The 27137-nt window shown below is 52.9% G+C and overlaps 2 protein-coding genes across 3 annotated transcripts, besides 2 other annotated features; one reads left to right on the top strand and one right to left on the bottom strand.

The window, feature by feature from the left end:
- Positions 1-1549: 1549 nt before the first annotated feature.
- LRFN1 (leucine rich repeat and fibronectin type III domain containing 1) lies at positions 1550-15847 on the top strand. 2 transcript variants are annotated; one of them, NM_020862.2, is made up of 5 exons: positions 1550-1620; positions 4055-4087; positions 6277-6331; positions 7040-8482; positions 13871-15847. In NM_020862.2, exons 4-5 carry the CDS (start codon positions 7077-7079, stop codon positions 14778-14780), a joined length of 2316 nt encoding a protein of 771 aa, NP_065913.1. In that variant the 5' UTR covers positions 1550-1620; positions 4055-4087; positions 6277-6331; positions 7040-7076; the 3' UTR covers positions 14781-15847. The 2 variants fall into 2 exon arrangements, with proteins under 2 accessions (NP_065913.1, XP_016882522.1); XM_017027033.2 differs by having other exon boundaries at positions 1550-1923.
- Positions 1702-1961: a silencer, noted in NCBI's record as "silent region_10596". NCBI's record gives its function as "represses an Ori minimal core promoter by ATAC-STARR-seq in GM12878 lymphoblastoid cells {active_cell/tissue: GM12878}" and the evidence as "EXISTENCE:reporter gene assay evidence [ECO:0000049][PMID:35858748]".
- Positions 14085-14586: an enhancer, noted in NCBI's record as "H3K27ac-H3K4me1 hESC enhancer chr19:39798467-39798968 (GRCh37/hg19 assembly coordinates)". NCBI's record gives its function as "activates a minimal SCP1, AML or CMV promoter by ChIP-STARR-seq in naive H9 embryonic stem cells {active_cell/tissue: H9 hESC(naive)}" and the evidence as "EXISTENCE:reporter gene assay evidence [ECO:0000049][PMID:30033119]".
- A 7892-nt stretch (positions 15848-23739) lies between the features above and the next one.
- Positions 23740-26006, bottom strand: IFNL1 (interferon lambda 1). Its single transcript, NM_172140.2, has 5 exons — positions 25821-26006; positions 25531-25608; positions 24306-24449; positions 24117-24200; positions 23740-24022 (listed from the first exon to the last, which is right to left on the bottom strand). Exons 1-5 carry the CDS (start codon positions 25989-25991, stop codon positions 23897-23899), a joined length of 603 nt encoding a protein of 200 aa, NP_742152.1. The 5' UTR covers positions 25992-26006; the 3' UTR covers positions 23740-23896.
- Between the last annotated feature and the right edge of the window lie 1131 nt (positions 26007-27137).

The raw sequence follows: 27137 nt of genomic DNA, 5'->3' as shown, positions 1-27137 counted from the left end.
AATTAGCCGGGCGTGGTGGCGCACACCTGTAATCCCAGCTACTAGGGAGGCTGAGGCAGGAGAATTGCTTGAACCTGGGAGGTGGAGGTTGCAGTGAGCCGAGATCGTGCCACTCTACTCCAGCCTGGGTGACAGAGTGAGACTTTGTCTAAAAAAAAAAAAAAATTAGGAAAGGGGTTTAGAGGAGGACCTCTGTACAGTGGGATCCAAAACGAGAAGGGTTTGAGACCCCAGGAATCTGGGGCACTGCATGAAACAACACAGATTTTTAGGGGAGAAGTTGCTGGGTTTAGGGACCCTGTGAATATCTCAGAAAGAGAAGGAGAGTGGCCTGAGATACTCAGTGGGGTTTGAGGGAAGGGGTGGGGTTCAGCTATGGGACAGGGGATGGGCAAAGGGGTCTGAACTAGGAAGGAGCAAGGCATTCTGGGCTCTATGGAAGTCACAGGGAGGGGGGACTTTCAGGGTCCAAGAGAAAGAACTGGAGCAAGAAGGAGGCAGGGTCCTCAAGGGGGCAGGACTAGTAGGGGGTGGGAAAAAATTGGGGCTAATTGGGGAGTTTTGGAAACCAAAGGATGTCTTGGAGGAGAAGGAGAGAGAAAGGTGTAAGGTCAAAGGGGTGGAAGATGGTTTGGGGTCTAATGGGGTTCATGGGGAAAGTTTAAGGGTCTTCCATAGGGATAAGAGACATTTTAGGGCCCCCTAGAAGTTAGGCATGGTTTGGAGTTCATACTGGGGGTAAGGGAATGGGTTAGGGTCCTTGAGGGTAGAAGGACATGGCTGGGGGTCCCCAAGAAGGAGTGGAATATGATTTGTGGTTCTGGTGGCTGTAGAATGTGGTTTGGGTCCCCAAAGGGAGTCAGGCACCATCTGGGATTTGGCTGACATATGGTCTGAAGTCTCCCCCGATGTTAGGGTATGATTTGGGGTCCGTGAGGGAAGGGGTGTGGTCTGGGGGTCTATCTGAATGTTGGGATATGATTTAGGGTTGCTGGTGGGGTGGTCTGGATCCCCTTGGATGCTGGGATATGATCTGGGATTCTTCTGGGTTTGGGGGCATGGTCTGGGGTTCCTGACAGTGTGTGGGTCATAGTCTGAGGTCAAGCAGGAGAGCAGGGCATGATTTGTGGTCCTGGGTGGCCCTAGAACATCGCCTGGGTTCTCAAAAGAGGTGAGGCCTGATCCGAGGTCCCCCTGGGTATTAGGACGTGATGGGAGGTCTCTGTAGGGAGATCCGGGGTCCCTAGGCCAGTTGGGGCGTGGTCTGGGGGGGTCTCCGGGGAGGCCGGCGGGGCTGGGGGTGGGGCTGGGGAAGGGTCGGGGGCGGGCCCGCGGCGGCTCGGCAGTGGAGAGGGGTCTGCGGCGGGTTCGGGGCGGGGATCCCGGGTGTGCGACCGCCCCGCCCGGCCGCCCCCACCAGTCGGCGCCCCCTCCCCCCTTGCGGCGGCGGTGGCGGCGGGCGGCGCGGAGGGCGGAGCTCGGCTGCGGCTCGGGAGGGAGGGCGGGAGGCGGGAGGGAGGCGGCCCCGCGGCACCGCGCCCCCTCCCCCGGCCCTCCCCCCACCATGGCGCGGAGCGAGGCAGCGGCGGCGGGGCCGGGCCCGGGGCCCCCCCGGGCTGGGTGAGCGCGGCCTGCAGCGGCCCGGGAGCGGCGGGCGGGGGCGCGGGTGTGTGCGCGGGTGTGAGCGTGCGAGCGTGCGAGTGTGTGTCCGTGGCGCTGCGGCGGGCCCGGCGTGCGCCCGCGCGGCCCTATGTGTGCCCGGTGCCGGCGTGTGCGGCGCCCTGCCCGTGTGGCCATCGGGTGTGCGCGGGGTGTCGAGCCCGGCCGGCGTGTCCGGCTGTGCACGCGTGTCCCCCCGAGCGGCCGCCCCTCCGGCTGTGTGTCTGGGCGCTGTCGCGCGCCCATCGGAGGGGCTGTGTGCAGGTGTGTGTGTGCGTGGGTTGTGTGCCCAGGTGTGGGTCCCCCCCAAGCCCATGTGCGTGCGCGACTAGCTGCTCTGGGTGTTTGTGTCCGGGTTGGATGTCCATCCCCGGGTCTGTGGAGCCGGGTGTGCCCGCTCGGGTGTCCATTTGTGTGTGTGTGTGTGTGTGTGTGTGTGTGTGTGTGTCTGCGGGTTGTATGTCTCCGAGGGTGTGTATCTGTGAGTCCACGGCAGGTTGCTGGCTTGGGGGCTGAGGCTCGGCGCCCAGGCCTCGGTGTGGATTTGGGGGAGGGGAGTTCGCCGCTCCCTCGGTCCATGTCAACTGGGGGGTCCTTAGCGGTCCTGGGGGAAGCGGCCATGTCTTCCCCTTCCCGGTGGTTGCGGGGGGGGGATGGGCGGCCAGGAGGTGGACAGATGGAGGGGGGATGAGAGGCCGAGAAATGGACAGATGGGCCCTGAGGTGGGGGTTGGGGGGCGAAGACCCGGCCCTTCCCCACCCACTCCACCCTAATTCCCCCACCGGCCAGACATCTGCAGACGGAGCCAGAGTTACCTCCATCCTGATGGCCAGGCTGGGGAACCTTTGGGGCTGCTGGTGGGAGGATCTCCTTGAAACGGTGATCTAGGACTCAAACCCCCAAATCCTCTTGAGTTTCCACCTGCTGAACTCTGACCTCTGGCCTGGCTTTTGCCCTGGTTTTTTGGGGGTGTGGAGGGCAGGATGCTGAATGTGCTGCAGGGATGTTAGGATTTCTTGGGCCTGGGAAGTAAGTAGGTGGGGTGGTGGGGGGGTGCCTCAGGGCTGGGAGGAATGTGTGTCCAAGACTGTGTGAGTGTGAATCTGGGCCTGTCTACTGACTGTGCTACTGTGGTTCAGTATTTTCTATGCATTTGGAAGTGTGTAAATCACAGGACTGTTGTGTGAGCATGTGTCTGTTATGAGTGAACATCTTGGCGTGTCTGCAAAGGTGGATCTTTTTGTGCCTGTGTGCGTGTTCCAGTGTGGATCAGCCTCGTATCTGTATGCTTGTGGTTTTGTGTGTGTGTGTGTGTGTGTGAGGTATGTATCTGTTAGCGTGGTGCTGTATCAACTTTGCAACATGGAGATGTGTGAAGTATGAGTGTGTCTAGGCATTTAAGAGTGTGCACTTGTGTATGTTTGCACAGGTGTGTGTGTGTTTGTTAGATGTGTGTGCCCCTGTGTGCTGGTGAGTGTGCAAGGTAGATCTGTTGTAAATGCATGTACCTGGTTGTCTGTTAGGGGGCACATGAGTTTCTCTGTTGTATCTGTGCATTTGTGTGTGTGAACTTGCATGGCAGAGTCAGTGTTGTACATGTATTGTTGCATGCAGGTGTGTCAACCTTGAGGGTATGTATCCATCTATGTTGTGAGTCTGTTTGTGTTTTGGTGTTGGTCTCTGGGGGTTGTGTATGTTCAGACATGTATGTGAAAGACACATGTGTCTGTGCCCTGGCACAAGGCTGTCCCTACTCTTGGGTTCAGTGGGTTTGAGGCCCATGTGGCATGACCTCTGGTATACTGGGGTCCCGCCTGGGGTCCCTGGACACAGTGTGTCCATATGCCAGGCCAAGTGCCCATAGAGGGCGGAGGGCACACAGATCATGTTGCTATGTTCATAGAAATCCAGATGTAGAGACTTGGGTTGTGGGCTTGCGTGGGTTCTGACATGGACACACATGTTGGTGTGGGCAATAGTATCATGGCAAGGATGGGAAACTTTGGCCCTTCCCCAGCTCTTGGTACCGTTCAGGACTTTGGAGTTGAGGGGCTGGGATGTAAACTCTTGGGTTCTAATGGAGGGCCAGAGGTCTGGTCTGGACTCTTGGGTCAGAGGGAAGAGGGGGCTGGGGTTCTTGGCTCCTGAAACCCCAGAGGACAAAGGGCTAAAGTCCTCGACTCCTGGGCTTTGGAGGGTGAACAACCCTGAGGCCTAATCTAGGATTCCAGAGAGGACTTCTGGGTTCCTGTGAGACTATGCAAAACCCGCCACAGGAGGACTGAGAGCGTGATCACACCAGGGACTTCCTTGGCCGGGATGGTCTCCAAGGCAAGATCTGGTGCACAGAGAAGAGCCAGAACGATGCTAACAAGGTGGTTCTGTTCCTTTGCAGGTGCTGGCCCAGGCCCTGACTCCCTGAAGAGAGGTGAGTAGAGCCGTAAGGCTTCAGAGAGAGAGAGACATGGGGGGTGATGGGGCTTGCTGTCAGCCAGCTGGGGGTCTGGAACCCTGCCTCGCATGGATTTCAGTTCAGGGGATGACAGTTTCCTGAAGGACCAGTTGCCCACCACTCTGTCCAAGGCTGGGGAGTGGTGACAAGGTCAGGAACATCAAAGTTGGGTGAGGGCTTGTGGTGGCCAGGTGGCTCTGGGGAGCAGGTGGGGGGTTTCAGGCCAAGAGACATTCATTCTCAGGATGGTTAAGGTGTTTGGGAAAGCAAGGTTTCCTCATGATATCAGTAAAGGATACAAGAATATGTCAAGATATGAAATGACCCCTGCATTTAGAGGGTTGAGTGAATATGTTTGCCCATTTTGTATGTGCGTGTGCATGGGTGTGGGAAGATCTCCCGATAGCCTGACCTCCTGGTGGCTGAGAAAGCTGGAGAAAATAATAAATTAGTAATAATAATAGTAATAATAATAATGATAATAGCAGCAGCTCACATGTATATAGTGTTTACTTTGTCAGGAACTATTCTAAGCATGTCATAAAATATTATCTCATTAAATCCTCATAGCAACCTTATGAGGTGGGTGCCATTATTATTCCCATTTGACAGATGAGCACACCGAGGCACAGAAAGGGGAAGTCACTTGATTAAAGTCACACAGTGGGGAGGTGAGGTCTGAACCCAGGCAGTAGGGCGGATTCTGTCCTGCAGTGCTGCACCACTCTCCATAAATGTTAGCTATTTCCATTGCTATTATTATTCCCTCCATTTGAGTCCTACCCCAGCTGTCGGAGGCGAGGCTCTGGACTTCTGTTTCATAGACTGGGATTCTGAGCCCTGAAGACCCCACAGCCAAGCAGGGGCAGACTCAGGCTCCTAATTCTGGAGTCCCCCTTTCTAGGCCAGGGTTTCCAGTACATTGTAGAGTAGTGATCTAGAGGGAGTGAAGGACAGATTTGGGGTGAACTCAGAGATGGTAGGACACCCCGATCCGGCCTCTTTTTCCGCCTTCAGCCCGGTCATTGTCTCTCTTACTCTCTGTCTCTTTCCTCCTCTGTCTTTTTCTCTCTAATACTGTCTCTATTTTTCTCTCCATCTCTGTGTCTTTTTTCTGTGTCTCTCTCTTTTCTGTGTCTCATTCTTCACTCTCAGTTTTCTGTCTGTTCACCTTCCTTTCAGACTCATCTTTTTGTCTCTCTGTTTCTCTCCCAATCTGTCTCTCTCTCTTTGCCAGTCCACTTCTCCCTCCCCCTGGTCTCTCCTTGTCTCTCTTCACCTCTGTCTCTGACTTTCCTGGTCTCTGTCCCAGGCCCCCTCCCCACTGGCAGGAAGATCAAAGCCACCTAAGGCCGTAGCCCCAAACACAGATTCCTGGGAGGTAGGCCAGCAGGGGCTAGGGTACAGGGCAGGGTGGGGTGAAAACAGTTTTAGGGACGCCCCCTTCCCATCCTTTCCTCTTCACCCCCCGCCCACCCTGTGTTGTGATGGGAACTGACATGTCGTGGGCTGCAGCCGCCGCAGGGGGAATCCCTGCCGGAAGGTTTTGCCTGGAGCAGAGACATAGCGTGAGTGTGTGAGTGTGTGAGTGTGTGTGTGTGTGTTGTGTGTACCCAAAGATGTGAGCATGAAAGTCTGCCTTGCTTGGGAGCTCAACTGAGCCCAGGATGAAACCAGACCTCAGAGAAGGCCTTCCTGAGGCTGAACTGGAAGACTCTGATGTGTTTTCCTCAGTCCCTCCCACTTTGACACTCTCCCTGCCAATGCCAGAGGCGGGAGGGGGGAAACCCTTAACATTTATTGAGTACTTACTGTATGCCAGGCATGGTCGGTGGTACATGAATGAAGATGGTACAATTATCATCCCAATTTACAGATTAAGAAATTACAGCCTAGCTAGGGGAAATCATTGGCTTGGGGGTCACAGAGCTAGCAAAAGGGGAATCAGGATTTGAACCTGAGTCTGTTTGATTTCAAAGTACTTACTCTCAATAATAGGGCACTGTTCTATGCCTGGTACATATTAAGCACTTGATGATCATGATGATGATTGCTAACATGTAATAAGCACATTTTATATGCCTGGCACTATTCTAAGTATGCTATGTTCATCAATACATTTAATCCTCACAGAAGTAAGGCCTGTTTCTATCTCCCTTTTACAGATGAAGAAACCGAGAATCAGAGAGGTTCAGATACTTGCTGGAGGTCACACAGCTAGTAAGTATCAGAGCTGGGATTTGGAGCTAGGGAGTATGGCTTGGATAGCCAGGGCCTTAAACCATAGTTAACAGTGATTTTTTAGACAATTTAGTGGGTACTGGAGGGCCCAGGTTGGGCCAGGTGTCACCCCTCTGGTTGGGAGATCATGAGAGGTTTGGGAGCTACTACAGGAGGGGCAGAGGTGAGGGTGGGACACGCAAGTAGGGACAGGGGTATTCTATCAACCAGTATAGAGATATTTTTATTTTTATTTATGTTTTAAGATGGAGTCTTGCTCTGTCGCCCAGACTGGATTGCAATGGTGTGATCTCGGCTCACTGCAACCTCCACCTCCCTGGTTCAAGCGATTCTCGTGCTTCAGCCTCCCAAGTAGCTGGGATTACAGGCGCCCACCACCATGCCCAGCTAATTTTTGTATTTTTAGTAGAGACGGGGTTTCACCATGTTGGCCAGGCTGGTCTTGAACTCCTGACCTCAGGTGATCCGCCTGCCTCGGCCTCCCAAAGTGCTGGGATTACAGGCGTGAGCCACTGTGCCCAGCATGGAAGTGTTGTAATCTGTTGTTAATAGCTGATAGTGGCTTCCTCTCACCATCCTATGGAACCCAGCTGTAGGCGGTAGGGGAGGGATCCAGGCCTGACTCGTAGCAGGACATCCCATGGCGGCCAAGTCCCACGCCTGGGTAACCGGCTCCTTCCCCGGCAGGTCTCACCTCCCACCCCTCCTGCCTTCCCACTGCACCATGGCTCCAGGACCCTTCTCCTCGGCCCTCCTCTCGCCGCCGCCCGCTGCCCTGCCCTTTCTGCTGCTGCTCTGGGCGGGGGCATCTCGTGGCCAGCCCTGCCCCGGCCGCTGCATCTGCCAGAACGTGGCGCCCACACTGACAATGCTGTGCGCCAAGACCGGCTTGCTCTTTGTGCCGCCCGCCATCGACCGGCGCGTGGTGGAGCTGCGGCTCACCGACAACTTCATCGCCGCCGTGCGCCGCCGAGACTTCGCCAACATGACCAGCCTGGTGCACCTCACTCTCTCCCGGAACACCATCGGCCAGGTGGCAGCTGGCGCCTTCGCCGACCTGCGTGCCCTCCGGGCCCTGCACCTGGACAGCAACCGCCTGGCGGAGGTGCGCGGCGACCAGCTCCGCGGCCTGGGCAACCTCCGCCACCTGATCCTTGGAAACAACCAGATCCGCCGGGTGGAGTCGGCGGCCTTTGACGCCTTCCTGTCCACCGTGGAGGACCTGGATCTGTCCTACAACAACCTGGAGGCCCTGCCGTGGGAGGCGGTGGGCCAGATGGTGAACCTAAACACCCTCACGCTGGACCACAACCTCATCGACCACATCGCGGAGGGGACCTTCGTGCAGCTTCACAAGCTGGTCCGTCTGGACATGACCTCCAACCGCCTGCATAAACTCCCGCCCGACGGGCTCTTCCTGAGGTCGCAGGGCACCGGGCCCAAGCCGCCCACCCCGCTGACCGTCAGCTTCGGCGGCAACCCCCTGCACTGCAACTGCGAGCTGCTCTGGCTGCGGCGGCTGACCCGCGAGGACGACTTAGAGACCTGCGCCACGCCCGAACACCTCACCGACCGCTACTTCTGGTCCATCCCCGAGGAGGAGTTCCTGTGTGAGCCCCCGCTGATCACACGGCAGGCGGGGGGCCGGGCCCTGGTGGTGGAAGGCCAGGCGGTGAGCCTGCGCTGCCGAGCGGTGGGTGACCCCGAGCCGGTGGTGCACTGGGTGGCACCTGATGGGCGGCTGCTGGGGAACTCCAGCCGGACCCGGGTCCGGGGGGACGGGACGCTGGATGTGACCATCACCACCTTGAGGGACAGTGGCACCTTCACTTGTATCGCCTCCAATGCTGCTGGGGAAGCGACGGCGCCCGTGGAGGTGTGCGTGGTACCTCTGCCTCTGATGGCACCCCCGCCGGCTGCCCCGCCGCCTCTCACCGAGCCCGGCTCCTCTGACATCGCCACGCCGGGCAGACCAGGTGCCAACGATTCTGCGGCTGAGCGTCGGCTCGTGGCAGCCGAGCTCACCTCGAACTCCGTGCTCATCCGCTGGCCAGCCCAGAGGCCTGTGCCCGGAATACGCATGTACCAGGTTCAGTACAACAGTTCCGTTGATGACTCCCTCGTCTACAGGTGGGTGCGGGTGCTGCAGTCCCAGGGCCTCCTCCCAAGCCCAGGGGGACCCTCCCTCCCACCTGCCCATTCCCTTGGCCTTCTTGCTCAGCCAGGGTTCTAGATGGCTGTGAGAGCTGTTCCCGCCCTCCTTTGCCCTGTCTCCTCTCTCTATTTCTCACTGTCTCTGTTTTTCGTGCTTATAGAAAATATTCGCTGAGCACCTACATGAACCCGACCAGGGCTGGGCACTGGAGTCCTAACAGTGACTGAGCTCAGCATGAACCCTGCCCTCATGGGGCTCATGGTCGATATCACTGCTCCCCACAACAATCTGATTGTGCACCTCTTCAGTTAAACATTTTGGAGCATGAAACACACACACACATTTACAGTGACATTTATTTATTTGTTTGTTTTGAGACTGAGCCTTACTCTATTGCCCAGGCTGGAGTGCAGTGGCACGAACTCAGCTCACTGAAACCCTCCGCCTCCCGGGTTCAAGCGAATCTCGTCCCTCAGCCTCCCAAGTAGCTGGGATTACAGATACCCACCAACACACCCAGCTAAGTTTTGTATTTTTAGTAGAGACAGGATTTTACCATGTTGGGCAGGCTGGTCTTGAACTCCTGACCTCAAGTGATCCGCCTGCCTTGGCCTCCTAAATTGCTGGGATTACAGGTGTGAGCCACCGTGCCTAGCCTACAGCGACATTTATATTTATAAATTATATACCAGTACTACTGAACCAACACATTGGGTACATTACAGAAACAGAAAACAAAACGTATGAGAAAAATATGTTATTTCCACCCTCACTTGGGTTTGAAGCCATTGCCCTGGTGGGGACAGACCATACGGTGTCAACAGACATTTTAAAAAAAGAGTTATTTTCTCCCATCGCCTCCTTATTTCTCCTTTCACCTCTCTGTCTGTCTCTACCTTCTCTGCCCTCGTTAGGCACAGAGCCCCTGCTTTGTGCAAACTCCTGAGCTGGGTGCTGGGGACACAGGGAAACCACCCAGACCCTGTCCTCAGGGAGCTTATAGCCCAGTAGGTCGTGGTCCATAGTACACTATGAGTTGCAGTCCTGGCCTTGCCATGTCTCTCCATCTCAGTAGTTTTTTTTTTTCTTTTTCTTTTTTTTTTTTGGCAGGGTCTTGCTCTGTCACCCCAGGCTGGAGTGCAGTGGTATGATCATAGCTCACTGCAGCCTCAAACTTTTGGGCTCCAAGCAATCCTCCTACCTCCTGAGAGTAGCTGGGACTATAGGTGTGCACCACCACACTGGGCTAATTTAAAAAAATTTTTAGTAGAGATGAGGTCTTGCTATATTGCCCAGACAGGTCTTGAACTCCTGGGCTGAAGTGATCCTCCTGCCTTGGCCTCCCAAAGTGCTGGGATTACAGGTGTGAGCCGCTGCACCTGGCCCATCTTGGTAGTTTTTTAGTATGGCTCTCTGCCACAGAATTGTCACACAGTAGGCACTTGATAAATGGTAGTTTGCCACATGGATGTCTCTCCTTCTAGCTCTGCCTCCCTCATGCACATTGTAGAGCACCAGTTAAATGCTTCAGTCATCTGCTTGGCTTCACCTGGAGATGCCAGCGGGGCTGGAGCTGTTTCCCTACCTGTGGAGAGCCCCAGCTCCTGGCTGTCAGATCTTCACCGAGAAACCTGCCTCTTGGCCTCCATCTCTGCCTTTCCAGTGTTTTCTTGGCCATAGGTGTGGCACATAGTAGGTGCTTTCCCAGTGTTGGTTGAATGAAAAAAATGCCTCTTGGCCGGGCGCGATGGCTCATGCCTATAATCCCAGCATTTTGGGAGGCTGAGGCGGGCGGATCACTTGAGGTCAGGAGTTCAAGACCAGCCTGGCCAACATGGTGAAACCCTGTCTCTACGGAAAATACAAAAATTAGGCAGATGTGGTGGCACGTGCCTGTAATCCCAGCTACTCAGGAGGCTGAGGCAGGAGAATCGCTTGAACCTGGGAGGCGGAGGTTGCAGTGAGCGGAGATTGCGCCATTGGGTGACAGAGCGAGACTCCCTCTGGAAAAAAAAAAAAAAAAAAAAAAAGCCTCCCTTTTCTTTTGTCTCTGTCTTCCTCATTTCCCTCTCTTTTTGATTCTGGTCCCAAACACTGAGTAGATGCCTACTGTGTGCCCATCTTGTGTTGGGCCCTGGGCCTACTGAGATAGGTTAGATCCTGGCCCAGCCTTACAAACATGAGGACAAACAAATGAACAAAACACAAACCTTCACAACGAACTTCCAAGCTTGATCTTCCCAGCTCCGCTATGAAGGCGTGATGACCCCCTCTCCATTTCAAAGACAGAAAAACTGAGGTTCAGTGGGGGATGTCACTTGCCCAAGGTCACACAGAAAGTAGCAAAGCTGTCCTTTATACACTGACACACATTTGTTGGGCACCCACTGCTTGGAAGGGAGATGGATAATATATTTCTGTAAATAATTCTGAGCTTCTGTGACTCTCCACTTCTCTGTCCCTCTCTTTCCTTTGCTCTGAGCCATGGCCACCACATGGTGGGGTGGGGGAGGTTCACAAGCCCCCAGACCCTGCATGGATGCAGATGTTGATGGCCCCCTGTCCCCAGCTGGGCAACAGACCCTGGGACTCTTCTCTTCCCTGTAGGGCCCCAGTTCCAGTTCTCCAACCCCCATTGCAGATTCCTATGCTATGGTGCCGCAGGGGTTAACTTCCTCACGCTGTCATGGGCGGAGGTGGCAGCCAACCAGAAGCCTGCTTAGCTGCTTGCTTTAATTCTGCAGCCAATTAGAGACACTTGGGCTGAAGCTTTCTTAAGGAGCCAGCCTCTGTCCTTGAAAAGGGGTGGGGGAAGCCCCTAGCAACTGGCTATTTAGGGGAAGGAGCAAGTGGAATCCAGGGCTCTGGAGAGGAGAGATGAAGAGAGGAGGAGGAAGGCTTAAAGCCAGGGCAGCCGAGGGTGGCTGGGGTGGGTGGCAGTGGTCTTTGAAATGGCAGTCAGGGGTGGGTAGAGTGGAGTTGGAGAAGTGGGTGGACCTTTATGAAGGGGCGGGGCCCTGATTGGAAGTCTTTTGGTGGGAGGGTGGCTCTTGGTAGTGGGAGAACCTCCTGGAGGTGGGATGACAGAGGTGGAGCTTCAGGGCCAGAAGGTGGCTCTGCTGGAGGGGAAGCGGAAGCATCGGAGAGATAAGCAGGCCTTCGGAGGTGGGGATGTGGCCTGTCAGAGGGGGTGGAGCTTGTTCTGCATGGTCCCACGAAGAGGAAGGGGCAGTCCTTGTCTCCCGGGACCCACCAAGAGTCTTTGCTGGAGAAGAGAGCTTGTGAGGTTGCATCCTGGCCATGCCAATCAATGTGGAACGGGCAGTCCAGGTTTAGCTGAGGCTGGACATGGCCCACAGTGTGGAAACGATGTGCTCAACAGAAGAGGGCCAAGGCCTAGCAGGAATGGCCCTCCAGAGGGGTAGATCTTATAGATGGGAGGAATGCAATGGGCTGGATAGTGTGAGCCACAGCAAGGGTTACTGGCCAACACGAGGTGTGATGCAAGCTAATGATGATATCATTAAGTGCCAGGTCCTGGCTGTGTTAACTCATTCATTCCTCACACCATCTCTATGATGTAGGAATTATTATCATCCCCATTTGGGGAAAATGAGACACAGGGAGGTTAAGAAACTTGGCGAAGTTCGCCGGGCGTGGTGGTTCATGACTGTAATCCCAGCACTTTGGGAGATCGAGGCGGATGGATCACCTGAGGTCAGAAGTTTGAGACCAGCTTGGCCAACGTGGCGAAACCCCATCTCTACTAAAAATACAAAAATTAGCCAGGTGTGGTGGTGGGTGCCTGTAATCTCAGCTGTCCGGGAGGCTGAGGCAGGAGAATCACTTGAACCCGGAAGGCAGAGATTGCAGTGAGCCGAGATCGCGTCATTGTACTCCAGCCTGGGTGACACAGCGAGAGTCTGTCTCAAACAAAACAAAATGAAACAAAAGAGAAACTTGCCTGAGGTCACAGAGCAAGCAAGTGGCAGAGGAGAGACTCAAACCCGGGCAATCTGGCCCCCAGCCTTTGTCATCTTAACCACTTCTCTACACTAGTCTTCATTCGAGGGGAGGGGCCTACAGCAAGAAAGGAATATGGTGTGTGCTTGGCTACGTTTGACCCCTTTACGGAAGAAACTTACCTGGTAGCGTGATTTGGTGACTTCTGGTGGCACATGAACATATGAGGTGGTTGCCTTTAATATCTGGACAAGGAGCAGGGCCTGTAGTCTGGATGTGGCCTATACACAGTAGGGGAACCATCCTTAGTGGGCCATTGTGGGGTGTGCCTGGAAGCCACATTTCATTTGGTTGGGGAATGGCCTGTAGCAATGTCAGGGAACATGTAGTTAAGGGACTTGGAAACTGTTCCAGGACATAGACAAAGCTAGATGGTTTTTTTTTTTTTTTTTTTTTTTTTTTTTGGTTTGTTTGTTTTTTGAGACAGAGTCTCGGTCTTGCGGTCTTGTAGCCCAAGCTAGAGTGCAATGATGTGGTCTCGGCTCACTGCAACCTCCACCTCCCGGGTTCAAGCGATTTTCCTGCCTCAGCCTCCCGAGTAGCTAGGATTACAGGTGCCTGCCACCACGCCTGGCTAATTTTTGTATTTTTAATAGAGACAGGGTTACCATGTTGGCCAGGCCAGTCTTGAACTCCTAACCTCAGGTGATCCACCCTTCTTAGCCTTCCAAAGTGTTGGGATTACAGGCGTGAGCCACTGCAGCCGGCCAAAGCTAGATGTTTTACCCAAAGGTGCTGCATGCAGATAAGGGGGAGCGACCTGCATCATGGTTTTCCCTGAAAGGCAGGAATATGTATAAAAGAGGAACTAGAAGAGCATCCATTGTTCCAGTAGGAATATGACAGGCGCTGTGAGCTGACCTTAGTGTCCACCTGAGTGGGGGATGGGGCATGCAGAAAAGGGGAGGTGGCCAGTAGCGTTGGCCCAGTTTTGGGGTAGAAATGCCTAGATGAAGGACCTTGAATGGCAGTTGTCCTAGCAAGAGTGAGACATAGCTAGGGAGCATGTCCCTTGAGGGCAGGGCTTAAAAGCCATAGCACTTCTCCCCTGCAGGGGCCGGGATATGCAGAGGAGGTAATACGAATGATAGATATATTGTCCCAGTGGGTGATGGGACACAGCCAGGAGGTGGGTCTGAGGGCGGGGCATACAGATGAGGGGTGTGAAAGGGTGGGAATATGTTGATGGAGGCGGGGCTTGAATTGCTGCTGTTGTCTCAGTAGCGGCTGAGACTTCGATAGCAGGGTTTAGTCCCCACTGTTCACCATGGGCGGGGCATAAAGCGAAGGGGCGTGGTTCGGGGGGACTAACCCCGCCCTGAACCCGCCCCCTCCTACAGGATGATCCCGTCCACCAGTCAGACCTTCCTGGTGAATGACCTGGCGGCGGGCCGTGCCTACGACTTGTGCGTGCTGGCGGTCTACGACGACGGGGCCACAGCGCTGCCGGCAACGCGAGTGGTGGGCTGTGTACAGTTCACCACCGCTGGGGATCCGGCGCCCTGCCGCCCGCTGAGGGCCCATTTCTTGGGCGGCACCATGATCATCGCCATCGGGGGCGTCATCGTCGCCTCGGTCCTCGTCTTCATCGTTCTGCTCATGATCCGCTATAAGGTGTATGGCGACGGGGACAGCCGCCGCGTCAAGGGCTCCAGGTCGCTCCCGCGGGTCAGCCACGTGTGCTCGCAGACCAACGGCGCAGGCACAGGCGCGGCACAGGCCCCGGCCCTGCCGGCCCAGGACCACTACGAGGCGCTGCGCGAGGTGGAGTCCCAGGCTGCCCCCGCCGTCGCCGTCGAGGCCAAGGCCATGGAGGCCGAGACGGCATCCGCGGAGCCGGAGGTGGTCCTTGGACGTTCTCTGGGCGGCTCGGCCACCTCGCTGTGCCTGCTGCCATCCGAGGAAACTTCCGGGGAGGAGTCTCGGGCCGCGGTGGGCCCTCGAAGGAGCCGATCCGGCGCCCTGGAGCCACCAACCTCGGCGCCCCCTACTCTAGCTCTAGTTCCTGGGGGAGCCGCGGCCCGGCCGAGGCCGCAGCAGCGCTATTCGTTCGACGGGGACTACGGGGCACTATTCCAGAGCCACAGTTACCCGCGCCGCGCCCGGCGGACAAAGCGCCACCGGTCCACGCCGCACCTGGACGGGGCTGGAGGGGGCGCGGCCGGGGAGGATGGAGACCTGGGGCTGGGCTCCGCCAGGGCGTGCCTGGCTTTCACCAGCACCGAGTGGATGCTGGAGAGTACCGTGTGAGCGGCGGGCGGGCGCCGGGACGCCTGGGTGCCGCAGACCAAACGCCCAGCCGCACGGACGCTGGGGCGGGACTGGGAGAAAGCGCAGCGCCAAGACATTGGACCAGAGTGGAGACGCGCCCTTGTCCCCGGGAGGGGGCGGGGCAGCCTCGGGCTGCGGCTCGAGGCCACGCCCCCGTGCCCAGGGCGGGGTTCGGGGACCGGCTGCCGGCCTCCCTTCCCCTATGGACTCCTCGACCCCCCTCCTACCCCTCCCCTCGCGCGCTCGCGGACCTCGCTGGAGCCGGTGCCTTACACAGCGAAGCGCGGGGAGGGGCAGGGCCCCCTGACACTGCAGCACTGAGACACGAGCCCCCTCCCCCAGCCCGTCACCCGGGGCCGGGGCGAGGGGCCCATTTCTTGTATCTGGCTGGACTAGATCCTATTCTGTCCCGCGGCGGCCTCCAAAGCCTCCCACCCCACCCCACGCACATTCCTGGTCCGGTCGGGTCTGGCTTGGGGTCCCCCTTTCTCTGTTTCCCTCGTTTGTCTCTATCCCGCCCTCTTGTCGTCTCTCTGTAGTGCCTGTCTTTCCCTATTTGCCTCTCCTTTCTCTCTGTCCTGTCGTCTCTTGTCCCTCGGCCCTCCCTGGTTTTGTCTAGTCTCCCTGTCTCTCCTGATTTCTTCTCTTTACTCATTCTCCCGGGCAGGTCCCACTGGAAGGACCAGACTCTCCCAAATAAATCCCCACACGAACAAAATCCAAAACCAAATCCCCCTCCCTACCGGAGCCGGGACCCTCCGCCGCAGCAGAATTAAACTTTTTTCTGTGTCTGAGGCCCTGCTGACCTGTGTGTGTGTCTGTATGTGTGTCCGCGTGTAGTGTGTGTGTGTGTGTGTGTGTGTGTGTGTGTGTGTGTGTGTTGGGGGAGGGTGACCTAGATTGCAGCATAAGGACTCTAAGTGAGACTGAAGGAAGATGGGAAGATGACTAACTGGGGCCGGAGGAGACTGGCAGACAGGCTTTTATCCTCTGAGAGACTTAGAGGTGGGGAATAATCACAAAAATAAAATGATCATAATAGCTAACGCTTAGTGAATACTTACTTACTATGTGCCAAGCACTTAAGTCATTTAATTCTCACAACACCAGGACATATCGGTATTATTATCCTGTTTTCCAGATGAGGGAATTTTGGCCCAGAAAAGTTAAATAACTGGCCCAAGGTGGTAAAACTGGGATTTAAAAAGGCAGGCAGGCCAACTTCTGAGTCTCTACTATAGGGGTGAAAAGACAGCTTCCCCTTCACTCTCTGAAATTTCACTGGAATGGGCTGACAATAGATTAACAAGAGAAAAGGAATATGGAGGGTATTTAACATGCACTAGGAAAATCACAGGAAAGTGATTACCCAATAACCCAGTGAGGTTTATATACTTATATACCTTTCTTCACAGGAGGGGAGATGGGGAAAGGAAGGCAATTTTGAGGGGTAATAAATGATTTTGGGGAAAATAAATGGGTCCAGGAGATAGAATTTAGCTTGTAAATGTCTCTGGAATTTGAGACTGACAGACAGATAATTTCTTGTGACAAAGTCCGTCCAGGTGTAGACATTTCTCTGTCTTTTTTTCCTGTTAAAGATAATGAAATGTCAGGGAGAGGACAGAAGGCACTTGTGTTCTTTTTGATCTTTAGGCAGATAAGAAGACATAGGAGGAAAGCCTCTTCCAGCATCTATGGATCTCTAAGTGCCTTTAATTTAAAATAATCAGCATACCAGGGTGCCATATTTTGGGGTGACATTCCCTGAACTCCTTTAATACTCAACTAGAGCACTGTACTGCTGAGCAGTTATTGAATATTCATTCCACCCTCTGAGACCTCACAACTCAGTGGGGTAGGGTAGATCTATCCTTGGTCCCATTTTACAGACAAGAACCTGAACCACAGAGAGATGAAGTCACTTGCCGTAGTCCCTCCATCCCCCCAATGAATAAATAGCGGAGCTGGAAGTTTGATTGTACCCCTACACTATGCTGCCTCTGGGGTCTGTGTCCGGAAGCTGGGGTATGGCCCCCATGAGCTTAGCTGAGCTTGGATATCCACAGCTAGCCTGGTGAGCTCAGGGACAAGACCTCTTGTGTCGCTCTGCCTGGAATCTGAGGGACCCTGGCGGAGGGCATGGAGGATGGTGTGGGGAGAGGAGTTTCTCAGGTGAGGCTGAGGGCTGTGGCTGGGGAAGGAAAGCTGGTTGGGGAGAGGAGAGGGACAGACATCCCAGTCCTTGCAGGGGCCCTGCAGTGATAACACCTTCCTGATCTTGGGGAAGAAGGAGGAAGGCTTCTTGCCAGCCAGGGGCCCCCTGAGGCCAGGGGAGGAGGAGAGAAAGACAGAAATAGAAACGGAGCAGGAGGGAGGGGGATGGATCTAGGCAGACAGGGTGGGAGGCTGCTAGGACAGAGGCACCAGAGAATCACAGGCCAGGAGGCTTCCTCACCCAGGAGCCCAACCACCCTCATTTGTGTCAGTCATGACGACTCCTAGGTACTGAGGGCTTTTCACAAGCCAGGCACAGTGCTCCCAAACCCTCCCTGATGCACGGATAAAGAGCATGCAACCCAGTGCATGGCACATAATGCTTAGGAAATGGAGTTACTCCAATAATAAGTATGACTGCATTTAAAGCCTGCACAGGTATATGCAGTGTGTGCACACAATTTTCAAGATGAGGAAACTGAAGCTCAGAGAGGTTAAGGAGCATCTCCAAGATCACACAGCCAGTTAACAGCAGAGCCATGATTGGAAAGCTGACTGCCTCCAACCTGCACACAGAACCATCAGGAATCTTGTCTCTAATTCACTTGATAAAGCATTATTGAGCATGTATTATGTAACTGGTCCTATGTAGGGGCTATCGCAGTGAACAAAATAGATGAAACAAAACAAGAAAGCCCTGCTCCGTGGTGCCTATATTCTAGAGGGAGGAGAAATAAACAAATAAGCAATTAAATGAGTCCAGGAGGTTGAGGCTGCAATGAGCCCTGATTGCACCACTGCACTCCAGCCTGTGTGGCAGAGTGAGACCCAAAAAACAAGCAAACAAAAACGAGTAAATAATGCATGTCCAGTGGCAAATAAATGTTGTGCCAAGAATGAAAACAGGATGATGGCATAGAGAATGACTTTGAGGCCTACTTTAGGTGGGAGGGTGAAGGATGGTGATGACAGAGCTAAATAAATGCATTGTGAGAAAAGCAGGGAAAAGCATTCCTGGCAAAGGGAACAGCATGTGCAAAGACCCTTAGGAAGTAGTGTGCTTGATGTGTTGGAGGCAGTGTGTCTGGACTGAAGTGGGAAGAGTGAGAGGAGAGTAGGTGGGAGAAGCAAGTGGGTTCTACAGAACCTTGTGAGGTGTGGTCAAGAGTTAACATTTTATTCTTTGGGGCCATGGGAAGCCAATGAAGGGTCTTTACCAGGGGTGGTATGTGGTCTGATTTCTATGGAGACCCCAGCTTTGGGGTGAGGTATGCCTACCTTCAAAACAGAATTGGGGGTGGGTGCAGTGACTGACACGTAATCCCAGCACTTTGGGAGGCCAAGGTGGGAGGATCGCCTGAGGTCAGGAGTTCGAGACCAGGCTCGCCAACATGGTGAAACCCTATCTCTACTAAAAATACAAAAATCAGCTGGGCATGGTGGGTGCCTGTGATTTCAGCTACTTGAAAGGCTGAGGCAGGAGAATCACTTGAGATTACATCACTGCATTCCAGCCTGGGTGACAGAGTGAGACTCCGTCTCAAAAATAAAAAAAAAAAGAAAAAGTTGTGGGGTGATTGCAAAGCTACAAGGAACAGAGCTTTAGAGAAAGGAACCCAGACTCAACCCCACCAAGACACTCTCCCTACACAGCTCTCTTCTCTGCTTGGCTCAGCTCAGACTCATCCCTTTCAACTGCATGTGGCGGGGGAAAATGGTCATTTATTTACAGACACAGACTCAATCTTTCCAGAGCCCAGAGATAAAATGGCAGAATCTCTAGTCCTAAGAGAAAAATCTCAGGGAAGAGCTCTTATCGGCCTGGCCGAGGTCACATAGCAACCCCTGCACTGATTGCCGCATCCAAGGGAATGAATGGAATGCTTTGATTGGCCAGGTAGGGGGTGGGTGGGTCCTATGTCCCGGTTGTGTGTCCTGGGAAGTAGGGATTGCTAAATATTAGGTTGAACCACATGAACTTGCCATTTTTGTAGGTCACACATTGTATAGTATTGGCAATTTTATGTGGTTGAAGGTAAATACTCTCCAGAAAAAGTAGGATAAGAAATCTTGTTGGCTGGGTGTGGTGGCTCATACCTGTAATTCCAGAACTTTGGGAGGCCAAGGTGGGATGATCACTTGAGGCTAGGAGCTTGAGACCAGCCTGGGCAACATGGCGAGACTCTGTCTCTACAAAAATAAAAATAAAAAATTAGCCAAGCATGGTGGTGTGTACGTGTAGTCCCAGTTACTCAGGAGGTGGTCTTGAGCCCAGGAGTTTGAGGCAGCAGTGAGCTATGATTGAGCCACTGCACTCCAGCCTGGATGACAGAGCAAGATCTTAAAAAAAAATAAAACAAAGAAAGCTTGTTGCTGTAATATGCTAGTCTCAAAAAAGAAAAAAAAATAAGAAAGCTTGTTGAGCATATAAAAGCAATAGAGGCTGGACACAGTGGCTCATGCCTGTAATCCCAGCACTTTGGGAGGCTGAGGCGGGTGGATCACCTGAGGTCAGGAGTTCGAGACCAGCCTGGCCAACATGGTAAAATCCTGTCTCTACTAAAAGTACAAAAATTAGCCATGCATGGTGGCGGGTGCCTGTAATCCCAGCTACTCAGGAGGATGAGGCACGAGAATCACTTGAACCTGGGAGGTGGAGGTTGCAGTGAGCCAAGATCGCACCACTGCACTCCAGCCTGGGTGACAGAACTAGACTCTGTCTCAAAAAAAAAAAAAAAAAAAAAAAATATATATATATATATATATACACAAATATATATATATATACACACATATATATATATATATACACATATATATATATATATACACACATATATATATAAAATAAAAAATAAAGCAATAGAAACCCCGGTGTACTATGCAGAAGGATTTTTGGAGGAGGAAGTGATATTGTGGAAATGAGCCAGGTGAAGACTTGGTCGTGGGAGAGTGGTGGGAACTGTCCTAAGCAGAGGGAACCACTTAAGCAAAGGCCACCATGAGAGAGGACAAGGAAAACTTGTTACTGTGCTCTGGAGATGGAGTGCTTGCTCTAATTGATCAAATTGGAGTCATGTGTCCAGCCAAATGAGGGAGTAGGAAAGGAGGTCATTTCCGAAGGAAAATTGAAGCACTGTTACCAGGAGTAATGGATGCTGCTCAGGCAAAACTAAAATATATCCAGTTCAAAATCTCTTCTATAAAGCCTTGGCATCTCCAAGTAGAGATTTGCAACCTTGTTTTCTTCCATTGCAACATTCATAATTGAAGAGACTCATATGCCTGGGCTCAGACATGTCCTATATGATTAAAATTTTTATGAAATATTAATTGACCACATTCTCTGGGTTCAGTGCTGGCCATGCAGAGATGAATTTGTGGGGATACATTTGGCCACAAGAAACAGAAAAATCCAATTAACACGACTTAAGCAAGAAAGACATTCAGTTATGTCACCTAAGAGTAAGTCTGGAGTTAGGGGATTCTGGGGTTTGGTGCAATGGCTTATTAATATCAGCAAGGACCCCGTTTTCTACTCTTTTGTTCTACCTTCCTCAAAATGATAGCTTCACACCCTAAACTTGTTGCCTTGTGGTCACAAAATGGTTGCCATAGCTCTGGGTCTCACATCCTCATACCAATGAACTAAGCAGGAAGGAAGGGAACAAGTGGGAAAGAGTTCTGTTTGTATTAAGGAAGAAAAATATGTTAAAATAATAAGAGTAACAGCAACAAACACATGTATGGGGCTCCGCCTTTGCCAAGCTCTGTTACATTTTTTACATAAATTAACTTTTTTTTTTTTTTTTTGAGACGGAGTCTTGCTTTGTCACCCAGGCTGGAGTGCAGTGGCACCATCTCGGCTCACTGCAACCTCTGCCTCCTGAGTTCAAGCGATTCTCCTGCCCCTCAGCCTCCCGAGTAGCTGGGGTTACAGGCACGCACCACCACACCCGGCTAATTTTCGTATTTTTAGTAGAGATGGAGTTTCGCCGTGTTGGGCAGGCTGTTCTCAAACTCCTGACCTCAAGTGATCTGCCTGCCTCAGCCTCCCAAAGTGCTAGGATTACAGGAGTGAGCCACTGTACCCAGCATAAATTATTTAAGAAGCCCTTAATTTCATGGCCACCCTGAGCTGCGAGGGAGCCTGGGAAAGCAGGTATCAGGCAAAAGGGACAGAAATTCATGTCCTGGGCAGGGCACCATGCTGCCCCCTACCCAAACTGAGGTTCTGCTAGTCACAGACTTTATAATGTAGTGGGAATGGCTGTGAGGTTATGTGTAAATTTTTAAGACATTTACAAATAGCTTTTTTACGTTTAACTCCCCTTTCTTTCTCTCTCTCTCTCTCTTTCTTTTTTTGAGACAGTCTTACTTTGTCACCCAGGCTGGAGTGCAGTGGCACGATCATGGCTCACTACAGCCTCAACCTCCTGGACTCGAGCCATCCTCCTGGGACTGGGACTACAGGCATGTGCCACCATGCCTACCTAATTTTTAAGTTTTTTTGTGAAGATGTGGTCGCTATGTTGCTCAGGCTGGTCTCTAACTTCTGCGGTCAAACAGTCCTCCCACCTAGGCCTCCTAAAGTGCAGGGATTATAGGCGTGAGCCACCACACCTGGGAACATTTAACTTGTTTTTGGTTATCAAAGGGAGTGCTTCAACTTTTGCCCGTTGGTTGTGTGTAATTTCTGTGTATGGCTGTACTTCAGCCCTCTGACTCCTAATCAAGAAAATACTCAAGAGTGCAAAGGAGGCTGGGAGCCGTGGCTCATGCCTATAATTCCAGCACTTTGGGAGGCCGAGGTGGGAGGATCACTTGAGGCCAGGAGTTCGAGACCAGCCTGGCCAACATGGTGAAACCCTGCTTCTACTAAAAATACAAAAATTAGCTGGGAGTGGTGGCATGTGCCTGTAGTCCCAGCTACTCAGGAGGCTGAGGCAGGAGAATCGCTTGAACCCAGGAGGTGAAGGTTGCTGTGAGCTGAGATCTTGTCATTGCACTCCAGCCTGGGTGACAGAGCAAGACTCCGTCTCAAACAAACAAACGATACAAAGAAGTGAGAGTTATAGGATTATAAGAATGGAATTTTATTCTGAATCCCCTGTAATGTAACAAAAAGTCAACCATTCAGAAACCTTGGTGGAGCTGGTGTGGTGGCTGACGCCTGTAGTCCTAGCACTTTGGTAGGCCGAGGCAGGAGGATTTCTTGAGTCCAGGAGTTCGACACCAGTCTGGGCAACATAGCGAAACCCCGTTTCTGCAAAAATTACAAAAATTAAGTGGGGGTGGAGGCACATGCCTGTAGTCCCAGCTGCTCGGAAAGCTGAGGTGGGAGGACGGTTTGAAACTAGGAGGTGGAGATTGCAGTGATCTGAGATAGATCGTACTACTGCACTTCAGCCTGGGCGATGGAGCCAGGCGCTGTCCCCCTCTCCCCAACCCAAAAAAGAAACTCTGATGAGTTATTTTGGTAATAAATTTCTTGTGACACACCTCACAGTGAATTGTGATGGGCTGGTGGCTCTCTCACTGTTTCAATGATTTCTTGCCTTATAACAAACCCAACTTAGTGGCGTAAAACAAATATTATTATGCTCACAGTTTCTGTGGGTCAGGAACTTAATCAGGGCCCAGTGGTGATGGCTTGTCTCTGCTCCAGCTGGGACCTAGAGTCATCTAAATGCTTCTTCACTCGCATGTCTGGTTCCTGAGCTGGGGTGATTCAAAAGCTATACTGGGACTATCAGATGGAGTACCTATATGTGGTCTCTCTGTATGTCTGGGCTTCTCACACCATTGTGGTTAGGTTCCAGGATGTAGCATCCTGACCGCTTTTCTTTTCTTTTCTTTCTTTTTTTTTTTTTCTTTCTCGAGACGGAGTTTCACTCTTGTTGCCCAGGCTGGAGTGCAATGGCGTGATCTCCGCTCACCACAACCTCCACCTCCCGGGTTCAAGCGATTCTCCTGCCTCAGCTTCCCGAGTAGCTGGGATTACAGGTATGCATCACCACACCCGGCTAATTTTTGTATTTTTAGTAGAGATGGGGTTTCTCCATGTTGGTCAGGTTGGTCTCAAACTCCCGACCTCAAGTGATCTGCCCGCCTTGGCCTCCCAAAGTGCTAGGATTACAGGCCTGAGCCCACGGAGGCTGGCCTTTTTTTTTTTTTTTTTTTTTTTTTTTTTTTTTTTTTTAAGATGGAGTTTCTCTCTTGGTGGCCAGGCTGGAGTGCAGTGATGTGATCTCGGCTCACCACAACCTCCACCTCCCGGGTTCAAGCATTTCTCTTGCCTCAGCCTCCCGAGTAGCTGGGATTACGGGGTCATGCCACAACTCCCGGCTAATTTTTGTACTTTTAGTAGAGACAGGGTTTCACCATGTTGGCTAAGCTGGTCTCAAATTCCTGACCTCAAGTGATCTGCCTGCCTCAGCCTCCCAAAGCACTGGGATTACAGGTGTGAGCCACCATGCCTGGCAGTACACACACATACTTGCACACGTGTGGGCATGAACATGCACAGTTACGCACCTTTGGTTAGACTCAAGTTCAGGCAGACACTCATTTCCATACAAATACATACATAGTCACAGAAGTCAGGCACACACAAATATACACAACGAGTCACAAATTTTGCCTGCATCACCCAGACATCCACACCCAGTCACAGACCCACAATCACACACACACTCAAGGATTCACCTATCACAGAAGGTTCCAATTCCTTGTTGTTTATTTGTGCATAATGTATAAAAGTAAAACAATAAACTCAGCCCTATGTCTCAGTCAGGGCTGCAGCTTCATAAATAAAGGGTGAGAGGAAATAAATTAAGGAAGGAGTAGGGCTCAGCGCATAAATAAGGTGTGGGGTGTCAGGTGGACTCAGGGTGGGTTGACGTTCTCAGACACAGGTTCCCATCGGCCACATATTTGAGGTCTCGCGTGAGGAGGCGGAAGAGGTTGAAGGTGACAGATGCCTCCAGGCAGCCAGCGGACTCCTGTAGGGGAGGAGGGGATGGGTCAGGGGCTGTCCAGGGTCTGGGCTCCTATTGGCTCCCCAGACCCTGGTCCTTCTCTTCCTGGGTCACTCACCTTTTTGGGGGCCTCCTGGAGCCGGTGCAGCCAGTGGTGGAGGCGGCCCCGGGGCCTGGGCCCTGCTGTGGGCTGAGGCTGGATCTGTGGGCAGAAGAGGGCGGTGTGTGAGGCGGAGCCTGGGCCACCACAGGGGAAGGATGCTGCTCAGAGCCCACAGACCTGGGTGCCCGGGCCCCAAGGACTCACACAGGCCTGGAGCTGGGAGAGGATGTGGTGCAGGGTGTGAAGGGGCTGGTCTAGGACGTCCTCCAGGGCTGGGCCAGCAGCGGCCTCCAGGACCTTCAGCGTCAGGGCCAGCTCAGCCTCCAAGGCCACAGGGCGCTCCCTCACCTGAGGAGAGGTGAGAAAGAGCAGGTGAGGGAGAACAGGCAAGAAGACCCAGTTAGTGGGGACAGGTAGGCAGTCCTGGGGAAGGTCGGTGACACAGTGCATGTGGTGGGGACAGGTGAGGGGTCTGGGGAGAAGGAGACAGGAGGGGGAAGACATGAGGAAGGATACAGGTGAGGCAGGATGGTCAAGGAGGCAGGTGAGGGGATAAGTGAAATGGAGACAAATGAAAGGGGACTTACGGGGGTCACAGAAGTTCTCTGGGGCGGGGTGGGGACGGGTGAGGAGAAAGCAGGTTGGGGGCACAGTAAGAGAGGGACAGTTGCATGCACAGAGAAGAAGGGTAGGGCTGGGTGTGGTGGCTCACGCCTGTAATCCCAGCACTTTGGGAGGCCGAGGCGGGTGGATCACCTGAGGTCAGGATTTCGAGACCAAGCCTGGCCAACATAGTGAAACCCCGTCTCTGCTAAAAATACAAAAATTAGCTGGGCATCATGGCACATGCCTGTAATCCCAGCTACTCGGGAGGCTGAGGCAGGATAATTGCTTGAACCCGGGAGGCAGAGGTTGCAGTGAACCGAGATCATGCCACTGCACTCCAGCCTGGGCCATAGAGCAAGACTCTGTCTCAAAAAAAAAAAAAAAAAAAAAAAAAAGAGAAGGGTGGATGAGGGGGGAGCATGAGCTGGATGAATGTCAGTGAGAGATAATGAGGGACAGGTGACAGAGGCAGGTGAGAGGGAGAGGGGGTCAGTGTTGGGAACAGACAGGGAGAAGTGGAGCAGGACGAAAGGCACAGGTGGGCGACAGACTGGAGACATTTGGGAGAGAAATGAAGAGTGAGAGTGGAAGTGACAGGGACAGGTGAGCGAGCTAGGGAAGTGGGGCCGATGGGAGATGATAAAAGGGACCCAGGGGAAGGACAGAGTCAAGAGAGCAGTTTTGAAGTGGCAGGGGCACAGGACAGGTGAGGAGAGGTCCAAGAGAGTGAAGGACAAGGGAAACAAAGAAGGCTAAGGGGCCACTTAAGAAGAGGGGGGAGAGGGTCAAGGGAAGGGTGAAGGGGGCCTGACTTTCAGCTCACCTGGAGAAGCCTCAGGTCCCAATTCCCGGGGAAGACAGGAGAGCTGCAACTCCAGTTTTTCAGCTTGAGTGACTCTTCCTAGAGAGCAAGGGCAGGGGTTAGCCCACAGCAGGATGGCTGGAAGCTAGCTCATAGCAGCAAGGATGAAGTTGGCCTGACAGCATGGGTTTAACCCAGTGCAGAAAGGATAGAGGTTTGCCATAGTTGGAAGGCTAGAGGCTAGCCCACAGTAGAAGGGCAGTAATTGGGACACCCGTAGAAGTGGTTCATCCACAGCAACAGGAACTCACCAAGGCGTCCCTGGCCTTCTTGAAGCTCGCTAGCTCCTGTGGTGACAGAGATTTGAACCTGCCAATGTGGCAGCCCTTCCCAGTTGTGGTGGGCTTGGAAGTGGGGACAGGGCCTGCCACGGCCAAGCCTAGCACCAAAGTCACCAGCACCACGGTCCAAGCTGCAGCCATGGCTAAATCGCAACTGCTTCCCCAGCGGCATGGCTCTGCTTTTTAGCCACGCAAAATGGGCAATCCAAGATGATGTGTGTAAAGTGAAAAGGTAATTGGAAATGAGAATTTCCACTTTGACTTAAGAGGCATGAGTGGGCGGGGCCCGTCTGGGAGCCTGATGAGGGAACAGGTGTGGGCAGGGCCAAGTGAGCTGGGAGCTGCATCAAGAAGGAAAGAGAAACTGAAATCCTTAGAACTCCCTGGGCAGCTTTCAGCCAACTGGCCTCAGGGAGTCCCTGACGGAGGCTGAGATTAGGGATAAGGCTACCTGAGTGGCAGAGAGGAAGCTTCTTTTTTATTCTAAATTAGCCAGGTGTGGTGGCATGCGCCTGTGGTCTCAGCTACTCAGGAGGCCGAGGCATGAGAATCACTTGAACCCGGGAGGCGGAGGTTGCAGTGAGCCAAGATCGTGCCACTGCACTCCAGCCTGGGTGATGGAGTGAGATCCTGTTTCAAAAAAAAAAAAGCTTGTTTTTTATTTTATTGTTATTATTATTTTTTGAGACGTAGTTTTGCTCTTGTTGCCCAGGCTGGAGTGCAATGGTGCAATCTTGGCTCACTGCAACTTCTGCCTCCCGAGTTGAAGCGATTCTCCTGCCTCAGCCTCCTAAGTAGTTGGGATTACAGGTGCATGCCATCACGCCTGGCTAGTTTTTGTATTTTTAGTAGAGACTGGGTTTTACTATGTTGGTCACGCTGGCTTCGAACTCCTGACTTCAGATGATCTGCCTGCCTTGGCCTCCCAAAGTGCTGGGATTACAGGCGTGAGCCACCACCTTACTTTATTATTTATTTATTTATTTTTGTAGAGATAGGGGTCTCACTATGTTGCCCAGGCCAGTCTTGAACTCCTGGCCTTAAGCCATCCTCCTGCTTCAGCCTCGCAAAGTGCTAGTATTAAAGGCATGAGCCACTGCTCCTGGCCAAGAAGGAGCTTCTGCCATTGGTTTAAGAATGTCCCATTAACTAATTTCAGTTCATGCTCCTAATGTTTCTCTGAGTAGTTATTTTTATAATTGTGATGGTTAATTTTAGGTGTCACCTTGACTGGTTAAGTTTATCAGATAGCTGGTGATGCGTTAATTCTGGGTATGACTCTGGGGT

Source organism: Homo sapiens, chromosome 19, assembly GCF_000001405.40.
Source record: "Homo sapiens chromosome 19, GRCh38.p14 Primary Assembly".
Classification (NCBI taxonomy): domain Eukaryota; kingdom Metazoa; phylum Chordata; class Mammalia; order Primates; family Hominidae; genus Homo; species Homo sapiens.
This window is presented reverse-complemented; position numbering and strand designations above follow the sequence as displayed.

Coding starts and splice junctions, on each gene's coding strand:
- LRFN1 (NM_020862.2), top strand. CDS start 7,077: ATGGCTCCAGGACCCTTCTCCTCGGCCCTCCTCTCGCCGCCGCCCGCT. Junction 8,483..13,870: donor GATGACTCCCTCGTCTACAG/GTGGGTGCGGGT, acceptor CCCCTCCTACAG/GATGATCCCGTCCACCAGTC.
- IFNL1 (NM_172140.2), bottom strand. CDS start 25,991: ATGGCTGCAGCTTGGACCGTGGTGCTGGTGACTTTGGTGCTAGGCTTG. Junction 25,609..25,820: donor AGAAGGCCAGGGACGCCTTG/GTGAGTTCCTGT, acceptor CTTGCTCTCTAG/GAAGAGTCACTCAAGCTGAA. Junction 24,450..25,530: donor GGGACCTGAGGCTTCTCCAG/GTGAGCTGAAAG, acceptor ACCTCTCCTCAG/GTGAGGGAGCGCCCTGTGGC.